Source organism: Homo sapiens, chromosome 6 (assembly GCF_000001405.40).
Source record: "Homo sapiens chromosome 6, GRCh38.p14 Primary Assembly".
NCBI lineage: Eukaryota > Metazoa > Chordata > Mammalia > Primates > Hominidae > Homo > Homo sapiens.
This window is the reverse complement of record NC_000006.12, coordinates 47,502,718-47,525,080: the sequence shown is the minus strand read 5'-3', so window position 1 is coordinate 47,525,080 and position 22,363 is coordinate 47,502,718. Positions and strand designations below refer to the sequence as shown.

Below are 22,363 nucleotides of genomic sequence, written 5' to 3'. Positions count from 1 at the left end.
TTTTTTAATATAAGTAATAATATATAAGGAATATCCAGGAAAAACTACTTAAAGTCATTTGATTTTCCTTTTTATTATGATTAAATTAAATTGGATATTCACTAAAGCACTTAAGTTCAAAGAAAAATGACCAACAAGAAAAAATGTCCTTAATATGAAATCAGTACGTATCGTCTAAGTGTCAATAGATCAAAATCGGCAAGGAAAACAAAAATGACAGATATAGCAGACCTACTTTGAAAGTTTCTAAACTTCTCTCCTCTACTATGCTTTTTGTTACACAATTGCTCTCCACATTTTGGACAAAGGAACTTCCTATTTAAACTATTCCTCCTGTATTCAGAGAAGGCAAAAGTAGAAATGGGGTGGGGGAAGTTATATAAATTCACTGTCAATGGCATCCTACTCCTTTCCTTTTTTCTATCCAGGAATGTAAATGAGAGCCAAGTGAAGTACAGTGGAAAAAAAAACACTTAAGAACTTTTCTCTTTACTCATTCTTTCAGACATACCACAATGATTGAAATGAACTGAAAATAACCCAATATTTTATAATGGTCACATTTTTCCTAATAGTTTTGTTCATCTAAAAAATGTCATTTCCACCTTCAGGCCTAGATGAAGGGGTTTAAGAATAAGAACTGCAAGAAAATGAGGGCTAATGTGTTTACAATTTCTTCTAACGGAAAAAACATGAGGCTTACATGGGAAATTCTTTCTCAAGGATGCTAGACTCCTTGAGGCCACAGATGAGAGTGACACAGCAGGCAAGTCGTGCTGGGTCCAAGGAGCTAGAGCAGGAGATATCCCAGAAGCCCAGCTCTGGCACTCAACTTTCCTGATACCTGGTTTACCTTATTTCTACAGTAGTGACCAATCTGAAATACCTTAGCCGAAACAAAATGTATTAACTCCTAAAGGGAAAAAATGAGAATGTAACTTTCCAGATTAAGTCCAAGGCAAACATTAACATGGTTTATATATAATAATGTCTTGAATTTCTTGAATTTCTATTTACAGTATGAAGAATAGTATGTAAAAGGGGGAAATGGTACAAATAATTCCATTTAAAAGATTTGTTTTATAGGAAACAGTCTTTAAAGCTATCTACCAAATTTCTAAACATGGAAGAAAGCTGAGGGAGGGTTATAAAGAAAGGTACTTTTCACAATGGATACTTCTATATTGCTTTGACTTTTGTTTCAACATATACTATGTCTGTGATTTAAAATAAAATAAAAGATTTGGTGTACCTACAAATAACAGTGTTATGTCACATTGTTATAGGGCATTTGGAAAAAGACACATATGCTATGCGAGTACACTTTATCAAATGTAAATCCTTATATATATTTTCTAGTATTACCTGTATAAAGTATTTCTCCAACTCACTGAATATAGTCTATGTGAAATTCAGAATAGTATTATCTAAAATAACTCAAGTCACAGAATGAATTACTCTTAATATATGTGTAAAATAGTTAATGCTTTAACAGTAACAGAAAACATACTATGATGTATCATCAATAACTATACACAACTTTGGCATTCTTTCAACCGTTTTTTATTTTTATTTTTACTTATTGTCAATGAAGATTTATTTCTTGCTTAAGCAACATATTCAACACAAGTGGAAATGGAGATCTGTTCTTTTCTCTAAATAAAAATTGCATATACTTAAGGTATACAACATCTTTTGACATATGTGTAGATAGTGAAATGATTACTACAGTCAAGCTAATTAACATCTACCATTTTCATTACAATTCCCAATTAGCCAGTAAACTTGTCTTCCATTTAATATTCCAATATCTGCAAGGTTTTCTCCCTTAATCTGTCTCCAATTAATGAAAGTAAATCAAACATCAAAATGTTCTCTATATGAACTATTATAAAGCTAGCTCTTGAATTGTTCTATTAAAGTCGTCAATACATTTCTATAAATACTGGAAAACATCACTGACATCCATCCAAAAGATCTAACAGTTTCATAAAGCAAAAGATTTTTAAAACTAAACACCATATAACACCAAATTGTCATTTCCTTTACTTAAATATTTCTTCTTATGAAAACTGGAATAACAACAGTCAAAAACTAAATCAGCATCCTTCTAAAAAAAGAATTTTTTTCTAAATCAATGAGACTTTCCAAAGTAGCTATATACATACATCTCTTATTCTTCATATTGCTAATTTTTCAAGTAGCTTTAAAAAAGATTTTAATTATATTTAAAGATTTAATGTAAATATAATTTACATTATATTTACTATGGAAATCTGCAAATAAACTGAAAATAAACATTTTTAAATAAAAGATAATTTTTCAAACTAATTTTTTAAAAACCTGTATTCTAAACGAAGAGAAAAAAATTGCTAGAAATTTAGGTTGAAACCAAGAAAAAACATCTGAGTGATTTTTATTCATTTGTCAGCTTCCTGAAAAACTTACTGGGTAATTTTTGTTTTCTTCTTCCTGACTATATCAAAAAGTCTAGAACACTTTATATCAAGGTCAAGAAACTCTTCACAAGGGATCAAAATTTCATTTTAAATTTAAAAATGTAAGTAACAGCAGTTCACTTACCAGCACCTGAGACACCTTCTGTTAACATATCCACTTATTTTTTAAAGCAGCAAAATAAAAACATTATAACAGTAACAGGTTGTAAAGTAAGTAGTACCACCTCCAGGATCACTACAAAGCTCACAAAAACAAACTGCTTCACTGTTCACAGATTGAATCCCCTTATCAACAAATACTGTCCTGCTAACACTCTTTTAAGTACAGCGAATAAAAATACTTTGTTAACCTTCTCTTTTGATATCATTCCGCTGATATTTCTCTGCTTTTTCCATGACTCTCTGTGCTCTGGCGCTTGCAAAATTCACTACCAAATGCACCTTCTAAGTATTCCTCCTCACCTGCTCCTCCCCAGCCTCCTCAGGTGATCGGACTCTGCACCCTTTTATATGAAACTCATCAGTGAACAGAGTCCACCAATAATTATTCAATGTCTCCAATTAGTCACTTGCTCTGTTAGGTTATCTTTCTTTCTTTTTTTTTTTGAGGCAGAGTTTCGCTCTTGTTGCCCAGGCTAGAGTGCAATGGCATGATCTCGGCTCACTGCAACCTCCGCCTCCCAGGTTCAAGCAATTCTCCTGCCTCAGCCTCCCAAGTAGCTGGGATTACAGGCATGCACCACCAAGCCCAGCTAATTTTGTATTTTTAGTAGAGACGGGATTTCTCCACGTTGGTCAGGCTGGTCTTGAACTCCAGAACTCAGGTGACCTGCCCGCCTCAGCCTCCCAAAGTGCTGGGATTACAGGCGTGAGAGTTATCTTAAATCTCATGTGTTATCTTAACCTTCAGAAGCAAGTCATAACTTAAAGGGTATCAACTACGTTTATTAGCTTTTTGCTGAATGCAAATCTATTCTTCTTTTTTAATGGCAACTAATATTTAAACTTTTCCAAACACTAGCTTAATAACAACAGCTTAAAAACAGCTATTACTGTGCCATTTCTTTTTTGAGACGGAGTCTCACTCTGCAACACAGGCTGGAGTGCACTGGTGCGATTTCGGCTCACTGCAACCTCCACCTCCCGGGTTCAAGCACTTCTCCTGCCTCAGCCTCCCGAGTAGCTGGAATTACAGGCGCCCGCCACCACGCCCAGCTAATTTTTGTATATTTAGTAGAGACGGGGTTTCACCATGTTGGCAAAGCTGGTCTCAAACTCCTGACCTGAGGTGATCTGCCCGCCTCGACCTCCCAAAATGCTGGGATTACAGGTGTGAGCCACCACGCCTGGCCTACTATGCCACTTCTAATAGAAAAGAACTTTTATAATTATGAGTATTTAGACTGAGTAAAAACCTTACTTATGAGCAAGATAAGCAACTGTTATGGATGTGCATTACAAGCATCACCATCTAGATTTTCCCTTACAGAAAGATGGAGTAGGTGTTTCCCTATTCTTCCTGCTAAATATATTTTAAAGCTCTGGACCTTACATATGTAAAAAATAAATAAATAATTAAATTTTGAAAAGAAGGCAGACCAGCCAGGGACAGGAACTGAGCAAGTTCCTCAGAATCTGAGGAACAACATGGCAGTGAGTTCACTAATATTCTTTTTGCCTATATCCCAGGCTAGGTACTGGAGAAGTCTGCAACATAGAAATGCCAATGCAAGCAGAGAAGAAGAAAACAAAACTCAAGAAAAGCCCACTAGTGTTAGCCCTAGCCAAATGACCAGGAAACAGGCAGACTGGCAAGACAGAGAGCTCTTAGACAATAACCACTGTGCCACAGTCAAACACCACAGGGACAAAAAAAAAAAAAAAAAAAAAACTGTAGCACCAGTCCTGCCCATGGTAGCAATGACCAAGTAGGGAACCTAGACTTCCATCCTCATCAGGCTATAATAAGGCGCCCCAATCACCACCATAGACCCCACTTTCGCCCCCAACCACCACCCACCAGAGGCATGGTTACCAGAAAAGGCCCAGTATACAGCCGGGACTTCCCTCCACACTAGGTGAAAACAAACCACACCTTCCTTCCCCCTGCTGTCAGCGGAGGCCATATGGACAGCACTAATGAAGTACATCTGCCTCTCCAGCCAAGGCAGGTATCGATGGAAACACAGTGGGGAGCCCCTCCCGACAACTGTCAACAGAGACCAAGTGAGGCACTGGACTTTGGCACAATTCATTTCACTTTTTTCAGCATAGATTTCCTCTTTAGGAAAATAAAGCTTATATTTAGATCCAAGGTCCTCAACCAATATTGACTGTTATAAATATTTTTACCACTGATACTTCTACCAGGACTTGAACACAAATCTTCAGCTTTTAATAACGAGGCCCCAGAGATGTCTGCTTTATCCCCAGTCTCAGTAACTGAAATAACTTTCCATAGTCAATTTAGCCCCTCACCTAAAATGAACTACCTTTTTTCCATTCCAAAGGACTCAACAAAAAAAAAAAATCATTTCCACAGGTCATTTTTCTAAACACAACACTTTAGTTCCACAAAAAAGACCTAACAAAATTTGTTTTGCCCTAAGAAGTTAGAACTTATACTCAAATCCTAACACACTAAAATCTTTTTTACTATCTAGTTTAAGCAAATAGACTAATCAAGCTAACTGCTAGTTCCACATTTTCTCATTTTAACTGTTTTCCTCTTTATTTTTCTCCTTCCTTGAAAACTACTAACTTCTTTTAAAAGGGCAATTTGAAAAGTTCTGCCTTTTTCCCTATTTTATTGTTAATACTTAACAGTGCCTGCCATATTATAGGTATTCAAAAAAATTTGTTGACTAATTTTATAATTTAGGTGATTTTCTTCTCCAATTTCTCCTTTCAGATATGAATGGGCAGTTCTTGAGCAAGAAAATAACAGGATGAGATAATAAATTCCACTATATATCTACATACAAGGAATAGACACACAAAATCTAATTGCTACCAAACAATCCTAACAGGTAAGTTCCCTGCTTTGACACAGGAAGAAACTCATGCTCTAGGGTGAAGCATCTTCAGAAAGAACACACAACAGGTACTTGTGTGGATATAGTGGCAAGGGCACGGTCATCAAAAGAAGTCAAACAGAGGTCTACACATCCTGATTCCAAAGGCCGTACTCCTGTCACAATGCCAAACTATCTTCTTCCTGAAGTAGCTCTAGTAGAGTAGCTAGAAACCCAAACCATCACATGCAGCCTACTTTGTCTAATTTCAGGGTTCCTTCTCAAAGGGAATTCATTCCTTATCTACTCTGCATTCTCCTGTGTTTTACTGGCCAAATCTTGTCAGAGATGTTATTCTAGACCACCCAACTTATCAATGTCATTTTCCACCTCCCCAAGCATTTTTGTTCAAAGTGCTTATGGCTATCAAAAATTAACTTTATCTTATTCATTTATTCTTTTGCATATTTGTCTGCCCCACCATTAGAATATGAACTCATTAAAAAAGAGTGAAGTTATCTGTGTTATTCACAGTTGTGTTCTTGCCACCTATAAAAAGTCCTAGCGCAAGGAACCTCAGTAAATATCTGAATAAATAAATGAGTGGCAAATAGATAAGAATAAAACAACTGAATTGGAACACCAAGAGGCGGAGTGTAGGGAGGGATATGCCACAGTACTACCGTGTCTCTTTCTAAAAAATACCACAACAGAGGCTACCTGGGGAATTCATACTCTTTTCAGGAATACTGAAGAGACCCACTATCTAAATAAAACTGAAAAGCCTGTCACAACTATTGCAAAAAGGGACATGTGGTTGATTTTTAAAAAGATGTACAACTAGAACATTCATACATTGCTGATGGAAATGTGAAATGTGAAATGGGACAATCACTTCAGAATACAGTTTTGCAGTTTCTTATATACCCCAGCAATCCCACTCCCAAGTATTACTCAAAAGAAATGAAAATATATGTTCACACAAAGAGGCATATATCATTGTTTATGACAGCTTTACCCCTGATATTCAGAAATTGAAAACAATCTAAATATCCACCAACAGGTAAAAAGAGGATAAACACTGTGGTATACATAAAATGGAATGCTTCTTAGCAAAGGAGAGCAGACACAAAAAAGCCAATCATTATTAATTATACTAAATTATTATAAAAGCAAAACTAATCTAGAATGACAAAAAGCATATCAGTGGTTGCCACTAGCCTGCAAGGCACAAATGCAGTAGAACACTAACTTTTGCAGATAATGAATGTTCTAATATCTTAATGTTATGCTAGCTGCATAGGTATATAGGTATAGCTGCATAGGTATATTTGTCAAAACTCACAGAAATACACTTTAAAATGGGTGTATTTTATTCTGTAAATCATAACTCAGTATTCTGATTTTTTAAATTCATATCTGATCATTTTCACTGTTCTCTTTGAAGTCTCCCATTTTCCTCAGAATAAAGGGGGAAAACCTTTGTAACAACCCCAGTATATATACACATATAAACACACTTAAAGACACACACTCAGAACCTCCCCCAACAACACCTGACACAAAAGTTTTACAAAACAATATTTAACCATTCTACCTAGGGGGATAAACTGACATTTTCTATTCAACTTCACTCCTATCCATCTTATTTATGTAAAATGCTGATCACAACACATTAAATTTAGTAAGCGAAGTCTACTAGATTAAACGCTTAATACATCATCTCATTGGATACTCATAACACTATAAGATAAATACTATTAATATCCCTTTTTTCAGCAGATAGAGGTGGTGGTAAAAATCTCATAAATACTAAATAACTTACCCAGGGAAACACAAGTCTGCCAGGCTCCAAAGTCTAAATACCTAAACTATATACCAGATTGTCTATATCCATCAAAAGATCTAAAAGATGATAAAGAAATATCATGAAGACTTGGCAACTATTATTAGTCTGTTCCTGTGCTGTTATAAAGAAGTATCTGAGGCTGGGTAATTTATTTTAAAAAGAGGTTTAGGGCCAGGCGCGGTGGCTTAGGCCTGCAATCTCAGCACTTTGGGAGGTCAAGGCAGGCATATCACCTGAGCCCAGAAGTTCAAGACCAGCCTGGGCAACATGGCAAACCCCACCTCCACAAAAAATAGAAAAAACATTAGCCAGGCATGGTGGCACACACCTGTAGTCGCAGCTATTTGTCAGGCTGAGGTGAGAGGATCGCTTGAGCCCAGAAAGTCGAGGCTGCAGCGAGCTGTGATCGCACCGCACCACTGCACTCCCGCCTGGGTGACAGAGTAAGAAACCGCCTCCAAAAAAAAAAAAAAAGAAGTTTAATTGGCTCACAGTTCTGCAAGCTATACAAGCATGGCTCCAGCATCTCTTCCTGGTGAGGGCCTGAGGAAGCTTCCAATCATGGCAGAAGAAGAAAGGGGAGCAGGCGCATCACATAGTGAGAGCAGGAACAAGAGAAAGAGGAGGGAGGTTCCAAACTCTTTTAAATAGCCAGATCCCAAGTGAACTGGGTGAGAATTCATTTATTACCAAGGGCATGGCGCTAAATCATTCATGCCAGATCAGCCCCCATGGGTCAATCACCTCCCACCAGGCCCCACCTCCCATATTAGGAATCACATTTCAACATGAGATTTGGAGGGGACAACTACCAGCAACTAACTCATATTGGCAGAAATAAAAAACTATAGAATTGATATACACTGAAGTGCTGCACTAAATATAAAATCATATGCTATGATCTAACTTTAATAAAGAATAACAGTTGATTGTCCATGACTTTCCTATTTACATCTCAATTACTCTGAAACTAAAAATCTCAGCCTCCACTGTCCTGTTTTCTAACTTTTCATAAGCAAACTAAAACATCATTTGTCACTCACACTGAAAAAAAAATGGGAAGTATATAAATGGGAAAATTTATTTTATCTGGTGTCATCTCTAACTTTCTGTTCCAGTATTACTGCCCAATTCTAACCAATTCAGGATCTTCTCTCAATCCAGAAGCTATAAAATCAAGTAAACAAAGCATCCATTGCACATCATGAAAAGACCTTCATGAGTACCAGTCAACACACACACTGGGTGTGATAGGCATTACTAATGCTCTAGTTCTACTGTTCTTTTGCATATAAAGCAAGATCATATTTTTCTGCCCCTTTGATAGTACACATGACCACATCATTGCTATGGGCCAATGAAATGAAAAAGTAATATGGACCACTTCCAGAGGGAAGCATTTAAAACTGGAACGTGATTTTCTATGCTCTGTTGCTCTGTCCTCAAAAATTACAAAAGCACAAATTGACAATGACTTGCCACAAGACTAAAGCAGCCCAGAAGGTTGTGCCGCCACATGAAAAGCAGCACAGTGACTTGGCTAGCTGGACCAAACTTTGCATGAAAGGATGTAGTCTTTCCTTGTGCTACGCCACCACTGAGATTTTGATGTTGGTACCACAATGTAAACTATCCTGACTTACAAAATGAACTTCCTAATTTCCTTAAACTGTATAATAAAATCTTGGTTTTCAGCAAAATTTCCAGGGATAGAGGCAGAACACAATGATTAAATGCATTTTACAAAGTTATCTAGAAACCTATGCATTTCAAGCCAAGCTTCATTTTCTAATTACCTGTATTTTTACTTTTTTTCCCACATATTTTGCATTCCATCTTTAGTCTTTGAATTTCCTTTACGTCAAGTGTCTTTCTTCTGAAATTTCTTGAGTTTAGTTTAAAAAAAAAAATTTACTTCCATCAAATTGCAATTTGAGAAACAGTTTGATTTTTTTTTTCCTTTTCCAGGGTCAAATCTGAAAGTGATCAAAAGCACTTTTAATTTTATAATGCTAAGATCTTTCAACTATGCTGATGCTACTGGAAAATTTCAATGACTAGGATTTATATCACTTGCCCCAACAGCCTCAAAAGCACAGGACGTTACAGAATGATCACATTTCTCTAATAACTAGCACATACCATAGATGCATTTTTTCATCTAAAAAGAGCCCTGGCATTGGCCTGTCATAGAGTTAACTATGATCAAGTTTTTAGCCCATATTACCAGCAAGACTTTGGGTAAGAATGACACATTCCCTATGCCTAATTTTCAAAGACATGAGAATAAAGTGAGATAACGTATGTGAATATGCAAAGTATTCATACAGATATAAAGTGTTATTAGCCTATTATCTATCCCCTTCATTTCCACTCTCAATGTAGCACTCTGATCTCTATTATACTTTATAGCCCCAACTCTATCTTCTGGAAAACCTTTCCTTCTCATTCAGATTAATTTATTAAATAGTTTTAAATATCTTTAAGCAATCTTCAAAATATACTGTACCCCCTACTTTAACCCATGCTTTTAGTCTTAAATCCCATTACTCCCCCATATGAAAACTTTCATTCAGCCAAAGTAGTCTGCCTAATTATCTTTTTATCATAAATTATCTAATACCTTTGCCAGACCTACAATGCACTCAGTACTCCTATAACTTTCTACCTTAAGAACCAATTCAGTGTTACTTTTTTTTTTTTTTTTAAGACGGACTCTCACTCTGTCACCCAGGCTGGAGTGCAGTGGAGTGATCTTGGCTCACTGCAACCTCCGCCTCCTGGGTTCAAGCAATTCTCCTGCCTCAGCCTCCCGAGTAGCTGGGATTGCAGGTGCGTGCCACCACTCCTGGCTAATTTTTGTACTTTTAGTAGAGACTGGGTTTCACCGTGTTGGCCAGGCTGGTCACCAACTCCTGACCTCAGGTGATCCACCTGCCTTGGCCTCCCAAAAGGGTGGGATTACAGGTGTGAGCCACTGCGCCCAGCCTAGTTTTACTTTTAATCCCCTTTCTGAAAGACATTTTTTCAAAGATTCTGTAACACCTATCATCTTATCACATGTCTGCCATTCAGTCATGTAAGGCATTACAATTTATCCTGTTTTACACTGTTATTTCCCCCAATAAAATAAATTGTGGGAAAGATTCTTCTCACCACACCCCAAAATATGTCACAGTCAACTAAGCATTTGTTTACTGGAATGTGTTTATTTTGTTTTATCTCAATTACAAAGTAGCAACTCCAACAACCAAGTGCCAAATATGAACTAGCCAAGACATTGATACTGAATCAAAGTTATACCCACAAATAAATCTTTATTCTCTACTTTAGTCTAAAACATTGAAGTTAAGAATGTAGTAATATCTGCTAAGTTAGCCTGGTTTCTCCTCAGTTTTAGCTTACTTCTTAAACATAACAAATTAATGAGGTATAGTTTATGATTTGTAGCTACAAAATAAAAATGAAATGACTTAAAAAAGATCAATGAAGTAGACTATTCATATCTTTCCAAGTGAAAAACATTTAATCATACTAAACACAAAAAAAGATTGATGACATACTAAAAATGAAAATTTTACAGCTAATAGTAAAGTTGTTTATACTTAGACAAGTCACAAAAAGCATTTACGAGGAATACATAAGCAGAAGGAAGACAAAAGTCTATTGGTTAAAATACATTAAGAACTACTAGAAATTAACTAGAATATGAACAAGAACTCAAAGGAAAAATAGAAGAAATATCCTGAACAAGCTGTACACAAGGAACTGAAATGTGAAAAGATGCCTAGCTTCACTAGTAATCATGAAAATGAAACACAACATGGTAGATACTACTGTACATCTGTAAGGCTAGCCCCCCCCCCAAAAAAAAATTTTTTTTAAAGTCTGATGGTATCAGACGTTTTTAAATTGGTATAATTACTTGAGAGAGAAATCAGACAACATCTAGTATAGTTGAACATGTGCACACCCTAGGAGTCAGCAAATCTTCAGCTGTACACATACCCCAAAAAAGATGTTTACTGAAGTTCTAATAGCTAAAAATTTCTTAATAGCTAAAAATTGAAAAAAAGTCCTAAATATCCAAAAAATATGTAATACTTAGCCGGACAATGGAATACTATGCAGAGATTAGAAAGTAGTAGTAAAGGTGTCTCTCCTATAATACTGTATGTGCAGTCTTAAACACCATGCATTCTGGGAGAAAAAAAAACACTAAAATACCACTTATTATGTGAAAACTTCAAAATCAAACACTAAAAATACCAGTGACTATATAAAAAATAGAGTTTGCAGACCACTCAATTTATGCAAAAACCTATGCAGTTTGGGACCTCAACACTATAAACGAAAACAAATAATAACTAGAACCTACATAGATAGGCAATAACTTAGACTGCCCAAGCAGTCATGACTGAAGAATTCTTCAGTAGCTATTAAAAATGTAAAACAAAAAACAATTAAGTGGGAATGTTGGTTGGCTTATGGATGCTGAGACAGTGAAAGTGAGCACCAGGATTTAAGAGCCCTCAATGCCAGAACTGTAAACTTTGAGGAAGATACCCTTAGAGATACAGATGGTTACTTTAAAAGAAGAAAAAAAAAAAAAAAAGGTATTCAGATTCAAAAGAACTCCAAGCTGCTTCCATTTTCTTGCTGAAGTCATAATCCTACAATCTTTATTACAGCTCTTCTTACCTAGAAAATAAACTAACACACTTTCTCATTGTCCTGACATCATTTCTCTCTACTAATTACCTATAAGCTAACTAGTGTTATAAAACCCATTTGTAACAGATGCAACTACATTATGTATCCATGTTGAAATCTCACATTAAATATAAAGAAAAGGTGCAATGTGAAACAATTATGTAAGTGTCTAAATCACACAAAATACTATTTGTTTATGCACAGGCAAATAGGTGTAAAACTATGGACTAAAGGATACATACAACTTAAGAACACAGGTGGTCCTGCAAAGGAAGAGAAATGAGAAGGAGGTGATGAGAACTCAATCTCATCTGTAATGTTCTCTTTATTAAAAAGTAACACTTAAGCAAGATGGCAAAATGATAATATTCTGTACATTAAGTTCATAGATCCTTGTGTTCAATATCCTTTGTAAAATACTTTTAAAACTGGAAGACAAACACACTGCAAAGGGACAATGAAATGGGCATAAGTTTGTCACAAAACAAACTTATGGTGTCTAAAGTTTTTCATAATAAGCCACAAAAACAATTCAGCATTTCTATTCATCTTCCAGCCCAATTTGACTATCATTGTTCTTCAGTATAGCTATCTGAATTAGTAACAGGGACGTGAGTTTTTTACAAGAAGCCTAGTTCCACCATCCACACTCCATATTCACAGATTTACAAAATAACATGCACCTTTTTATGTTTGTTTTTTTTGAGACAGAGTCTCGTTCTGCAACCCAGGCTGGAGTGCAGTGGTGCGATCTCGGCTCACTGCAACCTCCGCCTCCCACGTTCAAGCGATTCTCCTGCCTCAGCCTCCTGGGTGGCTGGGACTACAGGCGCATGTCACCACTCCCGGCGAATTTTTTGTATTTTATTTTATATATATTTTTTTTTTCAGACGGAGTCTCGCTCTGTTGCCCAGGCTGGAGTGCAGTGGCGCGATCTCGGCTCACTGCAAGCTCCGCCTCCCGGCTTCACACCATTCTCCTGCCTCAGCCTCCCAAGTAGCTGGGACTACAGCCGCCCGCCACTACGCCCAGCTAATTTTTTGTATTTTTAGTAGAGACGGGGTTTCTCCGTGTTAGCCAGGATGGTCCCAATCTCCTGACCTCGTGATCCGCCCACCTCGGCCTCCCAAAGTGCTGGGATTACAAGTGTGAGCCACCCCCGGCCAATTTTTTGTATTTTAGTAGAGTTGAGGTTTCACCGTGTTAGCCAGGATGAACGTGCACCTTAATGTCCCAATAGGAAGCTTATTTTCAAATGGACAGTGAATTTTAAATTACAGCTTTCCCCTGAATTTTAACATACACATCTGAAGTGATAAAGCCAACTACCTTATTAATTTGTGTATTATCCATTGCTGTTGATTACCTAAGGGTAATTTTTTTTAAATAAAATTTTGCTTTGGAATAAAAAGATTTACAGAAGAGTTACAAAGGAAGTAGAAAGTTCCCACACTCTTAATTCAGTTTTGCCTAATGTTAATAGTGTGTATAACCACATTCCACTTCAAAACTGAGAAATTAACACTGGTACATTATTATTAAACTACTAACTGTATATGGATTTAATCAATTTTTCCACTAATGTCCTTTTTCTGTTCCAGAATCCAATCCAGGAAACCAAAATGTATTTGGTTATTATGTCTCCTTTGCCTCTTCTGGTCAATGTCAGTTTCTCAGTATTTCCTTGTTTTTCATGACCTTGACATTTTTGAGGAGTACTGGTCAGGTATTTTGTAGAATGTCTCTCAATTTAGTTTGTCTGAGGTTTTCCCCAGCCAGGATCATGGACTTTGGGGAAGAATACCACAAAGGTGAAGGGAATACATGGTATCAACATAACCTATCACTGGTGACATTAACCTGGACCACTTGGTAAAGGCAGTATTTGCGAAGTTTCTCCATTAAAAGCTACTAAGCTACTATTTTTCCCTGTCCATCTATTCCTTTTTTTTTTTTTTTTTTTTTTTTTTTGAGACACAGAGTCTCACTCTGTCACCAGGCTGGGGTGCAGTGGCGCGATCTCAGCTCATTGCAACCTCTACCTCCCGGGTTCAAGCAATTCTCCCACCTCAGCTTCCTGAGTAGCTGGGACTACAGGCGCACGCCACCATGCCCAGCTAATTTTTGTATTTTTAGTAGAGATGGGGTTTCACCATGTTGGCCAGGATGGTCTCGATCTCTTGACCTCGTAATCTGCCCACCTCGGCCTCCCAAAGTGCTGGAATTACAGGCATGAGCCACCGCGCCCGGCCCCATCTATCCTTTAGTCTATTCCACACCTGAGGAAAGCTTTTGGAAGGGAAAGAGGGGGTGTGCGGAAAAGGAAATAAGTATTTAGAATTATCACTTGGAATTTTTGTTTCAATTTATCCTTTCTCCCGTTTATTTATTCAACCATTTATTTATATCAATATGGACTCATGTATACTTATGCTGTATTTTACATAAAAATCAAATACTAGATTATTGTGCTGCTCAAACTGTTCCAGCTCTAGATATTGGGAGCTCCTTCAGGTTGGGTTCTAAGTCCCTTTGACACAGGCCCACCTTTTGTTTTTTTAACCACTTAATTTTCTGCCACCACAACACGCTCCAGGCTTATCTTGTATCTTCATTACCCCAAACACCAGAATCAGTCATTTCTCCAAGGAGCCCTTCCTTTTATTAGAGAATGGTATTTGGAAATCAAGATCTGGGCACTGGATGTACTCACGGCTACTGAGGTATCACTGCTTCTAGGCCCTCTCAGCAATAAGAGCTGAGGAATACATATATTTGTGTATGCACACTAACCCACATATATAAACACAGACACATATATATACAAAACCATTCCTGTATCTACCTGTACATGTTTTAACTAAACATAAATTCATACTGCTGTCTCTGACTATAATCTAGTAACCTGTGGTTAATTTTTAATCCCAGATTAAACTTTTCTCTATTACCTACCATACTCATAAACTATATACTCTGCTAGCAGGCAGTTCATTAAATTTAACTTCTAGTATTAGTTATACTGAAACAGGAAAGAAAAATTTATTTCAAAATGGAGTTCCATGATAAATCATTCCTAATAGTAGAAATATACATTAGCATACACTCAAGAGAACTATATAAATGTTTTGTATTTAACTTTTAACTTATTTTTGAAATCGGTGTTCTATAACTGCAATAAATTTTCTCTAAAAAGCCATTTTTCTTTACAAAAAAAAATGTATTAGAGCCCATCTTACTGTAGTCCGCCAAAATACCACTTTAAAGTGGAGAAAACAGGGAAATTATGTGATTTGTCTAATACCACACTGCCAGCAAAGGGCAAAGCTGGAACTTGACTGCATTTAAATCCAGTTATTCTGACTTCAGTTTCCATAGTATCTGCATGACAATCTATTATAGATCAAAAAAAGAAGTAAATTCATAAAACAAAAAATGAAGTGACCTTGCTCTAAATATTCAATTCCCTACTATAGCCTCTCTCTGTTGTTTCAAGAGATAAAATATAAAGTGTAGTTACTTCACCTCTGAAAACAGTTACAGGCCTACCTCGTTTTACTGCACTTCGCTTCACTGCACATCACAAATAACTGAATTTTTTTTTTTTTTTACAAATTGAAGGTCTGTGCAACACTGTGTCAAGCAAGCCCATCAATGCCATTTTTCCAACGGCATGGGCTCCCTTTATGTCTCTGTATTACATTTTTGTCATTCTTGCAATATTTCAAACTTCTTCATTATATCTGTTATGGTGATCTGTGATTAGTGATCTTTAATGTTACCATTTTAATTGTTTTGAGGTATCTCAAACTGTGCCCTTGTCAGACAGCAAATTTAATAAATATTGTGTGTCTTCTAACTGTTCCACCAACTGGTCATTTCCTACCCTTTCCCACTCCTCAGGGCTCCCTATTCCCTGAGACACAATGATACTGAAATCAGACTAATTAATAACCCTACAACAGCCTCTAGTATTCAAGTGAAAGGAAGAATCACACATCTCTGACTTAAATCAAAAGCTAGAAATGACCAAGTTTAGTGAGGAAGTAATGCTGAAAGTTGAGATAGGCCAAAAGCTAGGCCCTTACACCAACAGCCAAGTTGCAAATACAAAGACAAAGGTCTTGAAGGAAATTAAAAGTGCTACTCCAGTGAACACACCAATGATAAGAAAGTAAAACAGTCTTATTGCTGATATGAAGAAAGTGTGAGGCCAGGCTCACACCTGTAATCCCAGCACTTTGGGAGGCTGAGGCAAGAAGATCACCTGAGGTCAGGAGTTCAAGACCAGCTTGGTCAACATGGTGAAACCTTATCTCTACTACAAATACAAAAATTAGCTGGGCGTGGTGGCACGCCCCTGTAATCCCAGCTACTCAGGAGACTGGGCAGGAGAATCACTTGAACCTGGGAGGCAGAGGTTGCAGTGAGCCAAAATCGTGCTATTGCACTCCACCCTGGGCAACAGAGCGAGACTCCGTCCCAAAAAAAAAAAAAAAAACAAAAAAAAAAAGAAAGAAAGAAAGTTTGAGTCATTAGAAGATCAAACCAGCCACAACTTTTCCCTAAGCTAAAGCCTCATCTAGAGCAAGGCCCTAATTCTCTTCAACTCACTGAATACAGAGAGGTCAGGAAGTTGCAGAAGAAAAGTTTGAAGCTAGCAGAGGTTGGCTCATGAGGTTCAAGGAAAGAAGCCATTTCTATAACATAATAGTGCAAGATGAAGCAGCTAGTGCTGACAGAGAAGCTGCAACAAGTTAACCAGAAGATCTAGCTAAGATCACTGATGAAGATGGCTATGCTAAACAGATTTTCAATGGAGATGAAACCTTCTATTGGAAAAAGGTACCACCTAGGACTTTCATAAGTAGAAAGAAATCAAAGCCTAGCTTCAAGGCTTCAAAGGACAGGCTCACTCTCTTGCTAGGGACTAATGCAGCTGGTAATTTAAGTGGAAGTCATTGCATATTCACCATTCTGAGAATCCTAGGGTCCTTAAGAATTATGCTAAAACTATTCTGCCTATGCTCTATAAATGGAAAACCAAAGCCTAGATGACAGCACATCTATTTACAGCATGGTTTATTGAGTAATTTAAGCCCACTGTTGAGACCTACTGCAGAAAGATTCTTTTGAAAATACTAATGCATATTGATGATGCATCTGATCACCCAAGAGCTCTGTTGGAAATGTACAAGAAGATGAATGTTGTTTTCATGCCTGCTAACATAATATCCATTTTGCAGCCCATTGATCAAGGAGTATTTCAACTTGCAAGTATTCTTATTTAAGAAATACATTTTGGCCAGGCACGGTGGCTCACACCTGTAATCTCTGCATTTTCTGAGGCCAAGGCGGGCAGATCACGAGGTCAGGAGTTTGAGACCAGTCTGGCCAACATAGTGAAAGCCCATCTCTACTGAAAATACAAACAATTAGCTGGGCGTGGTGGTGGGAGCCTGTAATCCAAGGGGAGGCAAGGAGAATCGCTTGAACTAGGGAGGCGAGGAGAATCGCTTGAACCTGGGAGGCAGAGGTTGCAGTGAGCCAAGATCGCCCCACTAAATTCCAGCCCACATTTCGTAAGGCTATCACTGCCATAGATAGTGATTCTTCTGCTCAATCTGGGCAAAGTAAATTGAAAACCTCCCGGAAAGGTTTCTAGAGTCACCATTCTAGAAGCCATTAATAACATCTGTGATTCATGAGAGGAGCTAAAAATATCAACATTAATGGGAGTCTGGAAGAAACAGATCACAACACTAAAGGATGACTTTGAAGGGTTCAAGACTAAGTGGGGGAAGTTAACGGTAGATGTGGTGAAAATAGAGAACTAGAATTAGAAGTGAAGCATAAAGATGTGACTGAATTATTGCAACCTTGTGATAAAACATGGACAGATGAGGAGTTGCTTCCTATGGAGGAGCAAAGAAAGTGGCTTCTTGAGCTGGAATCTACTCCTGGTGAAGACACGGTGAGTATTGTTGAAATGACAATGCAGGATTCAAAATATTACATAAACTTAGTTGACAAAGCAGAAGGAGGGTTTGAAACGACTGACTACAATTTTGAAAGATCTACTATGAGTAAAATGCTATCAAACAGCTCACATGCTACAGGGAAATCTTTCACTAAATAAGCAAATTGATGCAGCAAACTTCATTGTTGTCTCATCTTAGAAACTGCCACAGCCGCTCTCTCCCTCTCCCTCTCCCTCTCCCTCTCCCTCTCCCTCTCCCTCTCCCTCTCCCTCCGTCTCCCTCTCCCCACGGTCTCCCTCTCATGCGGAGCCGAAGCTGGACTGTACTGCTGCCATCTCGGCTCACTGCAACCTCCCTGCCTGATTCTCCTGCCTCACTCTGCCGAATGCCTGCGATTGCAGGCACGCGCCGCCACGCCTGACTGGTTTTGGTGGAGACGGGGTTTCGCTGTGTTGGCCGGGCCGGTCTCCAGCCCCTAACCGCGAGTGATCCGCCAACCTCGGCCTCCCGAGGTGCCGGGATTGCAGACGGAGTCTCGTTCACTCAGTGCTCAATGGTGCCCAGGCTGGAGTGCAGTGGCGTGATCTCGGCTCACTACAACCTACACCTCCCAGCCGCCTGCCTTGGCCTCCCAAAGTGCCGAGATTGCAGCCTCTGCCCGGCCGCCACCCCGTCTGGGAAGTGAGGAGTGTCTCTGCCTGGCCGCCCATCGTCTGGGATGTGAGGAGCTCCTCTGCCTGGCTGCCCAGTCTGGAAAGTGAGGAGCGTCTCTGCCCGGCCGCCATCCCATCTAGGAAGTGAGGAGCGCCTCTTCCCAGCCGCCATCACATCTAGGAAGTGAGGAGCCTCTCTGCCCGGCCGCCCATCGTCTGAGATGTGGGGAGCGCCTCTGCCCCGCCGCCCCATCTGGGATGTGAGGAGCGCCTCTGCCCGGCCGAGACCCCGTCTGGGAGGTGAGGAGCGTCTCTGCCCGGCCGCCCCGTCTGAGAAGTGAGGAGACCCTCTGCCTGGCAACCACCCCGTCTGAGAAGTGAGGAGCCCCTCCGCCCGGCAGCTGCCCCGTCTGAGAAGTGAGGAGCCTCTCCGCCCGGCAGCCACCCCATCTGGGAAGTGAGGAGCGTCTCCGCCCGGCAGCCACCCCGTCCGGGAGGGAGGTGGGGGGGGTCAGCCCCCCGCCCGGCCAGCCGCCCCATCCGGGAGGGAGGTGGGGGGTCAGCCCCCCCGCCCGGACAGCCGTGCCGTCCAGGAGGGAGGTGGGGGGGTCAGCCCCCCGCCCGGCCAGCCGCCCCGTCCGGGAGGTGAGGGGCGCCTCTGCCCGGCCGCCCCTACTGGGAAGTGAGGAGCCCCTCAGCCCGGCCAGCCACCCCGTCCGGGAGGGAGATGGGGGGGTCAGCCCCCCCACCCGGCCAGCCGCCCCGTCCGGGAGGGAGGTGGGGGGGGTCAGCCCCCCCCGCCCGGCCAGCCGCCCCGTCCGGGAGGTGAGGGGCGCCTCTGCCCAGCCACCACCCCGTCTGGGAGGTGTGCCCAACGGCTCATTGAGAACGGGCCAGGATGACAATGGCGGCTTTGTGGAATAGAAGGGCGGGAAAGGCGGGGAAGAGATTGAGAAATCGGATGGTTGCCGTGTCTGTGTAGAAAGAGGTAGACATGGGAGACTTTTCATTTTGTTCTGCACTAAGAAAAATTCCTCTGTCTTGGGATCCTGTTGATCTGTGACCTTGCCCCCAACCCTGTGCTCTCTGAAACATGTGCTGTGTCCACTCAGGGTTAAATGGATTAAGGGCGGTGCAAGATGTGCTTTGTTAAACAGATGCTTGAAGGCAGCATGCTCGTTAAGAGTCATCACCAATCCCTAATCTCAAGTAATCAGGGACACAAACACTGCGGAAGGCCGCAGGGTCCTCTGCCTAGGAAAACGAGACCTTTGTTCACTTGTTTATCTGCTGACCTTCCCTCCACTATTGTCCCATGACCCTGCCAAATCCCCCTCTGTGAGAAACACCCAAGAATTATCAATAAAAAAATAAATTAAAAAAAAAAAAAAAAAAAAAAAAAGAAACTGCCACAGCCACCCCAGCCTTCAGCAACCACTAAGTCAACAGTCATCAACATCAAGGCAAAATCCTCCACCAGCAAAAAGATGGTGACTCACTGAAGGCTCAGATGATCGTTAGCAATTTTTACCAATATTTTAAAATTAATGTATCCACATTGCTTTTTTTAATATAATGCGATTGCACTCTCAATACAGTATAATGTAAACATAACTTTTACATCACTGAGAAATCAAAACATTCATGTGACTCACTTTATTGAGGTATCTGCTCTACTATGACATTTGCTCTATTGTGGTGGTCTGGAACTGAACCTGCAGTATCTCCAAGGTACCCCTGTAGCAGAATAAAATACAGTCGGCCCTCCACATCCGCAGGCTCCACAACTGCAGACTCACCAATTGTGATACTGCATAACAATTATTTACATAACATTTACACTTTACTAGGTATTATAAGTTAACCTAGAGACTATTTAAAGTATATGGGAGAATGTGCATAGGTTATATGCAAATACTATGCCATTTTATATAACAGATCTGAGCATCTGCATATTTTGGTATCCACGGTGTTTCCTGGATACTGAGACAACTGTATGTTTTCATACTTGGAGGTGAAACCACAACTAAAATAAACACAAGTTTATTCAAGAAATAAATATTAACTATGTATCCATTCTGTGCAGGTATTCTGCTAACAACTACTGTCCAAGCTGGACAAGCAAATGAGATACATACTCTAACCTTCCTAGAAGAGCTCATAATCTAATGAGGCCAGGGAATGAAGCTGGATGTAAGAAAACTAATACACAGAAAACAAGACAATTATAACTGATGTGTAAATACACAGATATGCTTTACTTTTTTTCTTCTTCTCTAAACTACTGAGAATTTTATAAGTTTGTAATTGATAAGAGCCCTAAAGATTGTTTTCTGGCAGAAGCGACTAGAATACTTACTAAAAAAGGAATGTTTGGTAGTAGTTGAAGAAGACAGTTTGGCAGATAACTGCTATAATGCTGAAACACAAAAAGTATGACCAAATGCATTTTGTTGTTGGAAAAGCAACAAAATATAATGAGAAGACCAGCGAGGCAACTGTCCCAGACTTCAGTTCAAAGTCTCTTGTCTTAGCTAACCAACAGTGGACAAAATCACTTAACCTCTCAATCTAAATATCAAGATATTTAAAATGGGGCTACTATCTGTCATAACTATTTCACAAGTATACTGTAGGCTCAAATGAGAATATATACAGCAAGCCTGCTTTATAAATTACTAAATGCCACCCAAATGAAAACTATTATTTATTTTAAAACAATCAGTAATCAGGTAGATACACACAACCATATACAAGCATATATACACAAACACATACATAGAGGATTACTATCCAGCAGGACACAGAGCAACAATGATATCCATTATAGAGGTACCTGGACTCTATTTTCTTAAATGTTACAAAGAAAACATTTATCTAAAACATTTTAATTTTAAAAGTATATCTATTTCTTAACATTTAAAGATTAAATCCTATGAAGCAAGAGCTAGAAATTTAACTGAAAATACTTACCTTAACGAAATTGTCAGGGAACATTCCTCTTCTCCCATTTAGTTCTCCTTCCAGCCACCCTTCCTCCTGTAGCTTTTTCACATTCCTGATGATTTCTCCAACTCGAATAGTTAATTCATCATCATGTACAGCATCATAGTCATACTCCACAATATAGTCAACTAAAAAAGGGGGAAAAAACGAAATGTCTAAAATCTAATTCACAAAATACTGTAAACTATATTAATAAATTTAAAACTAAGGAATCTGTTTAGCAACAATATTTAATACCACAAAGACATCAGCAAGGCTGATTTCAATTACTTTAAATATTTGGCTACATCAGCAAATTTCTTGAATATCTTAATATAGAGTACAATACAGCTATTAAGTGGGAGCCTCAAAAGAAAAATAATGCATAATTCATGCCATCAGACACTCTTAACAATCACATGCATATCCTTTGTAGCAGACAGACTCTGAGGTGGTCTCCATGATCCCCACTTCCTCGTATTCATGTCCTTATGTAATTCTCTCTCTTTGACTGCCAATGTGACCTGTGACTGACTTCTAACCAACAGAATATGATGGCAGGGCGTAATGTCTCACTCCTATAATCCCAGCACTTTGGGAGGCCGAGGCAGACAGATCACTTAAACTCAGGAGTTCAGGCCAGGTGCAATAGCTCACATCTGTAATCTCAGCACTTTGGGAGGCCAAGGCAGGCAGATCACGAGGTCAAGA

At 39.2% G+C, this 22,363-nt stretch overlaps 1 protein-coding gene across 4 annotated transcripts in view, besides 1 other annotated feature; it reads right to left on the bottom strand.

Annotated features, from left to right (window-relative positions):
- CD2AP (CD2 associated protein) overlaps nt 1–22,363 on the bottom strand; it is a 149,475-nt gene that overhangs the window by 102,183 nt on the left and 24,929 nt on the right. For 3 of the 4 annotated variants that reach the window (NM_012120.3, XM_005248976.2, XM_017010641.2), the window contains exon 2: nt 21,641–21,801. In NM_012120.3, the coding sequence (NP_036252.1) occupies nt 21,641–21,801 (161 nt within the window). Of the gene's footprint in view, nt 1–2,809; nt 2,941–21,640; nt 21,802–22,363 lie in introns of those variants that run through there. The other variant, XM_011514449.3, reaches the window with a different exon arrangement.
- Nucleotides 4,474–4,768: a silencer, noted in NCBI's record as "tiled region #13557; K562 Repressive DNase matched - State 14:Gen5'". NCBI's record gives its function as "represses a minimal TATA promoter and a strong SV40 promoter by Sharpr-MPRA in K562 cells {active_cell/tissue: K562}" and the evidence as "EXISTENCE:reporter gene assay evidence [ECO:0000049][PMID:27701403]".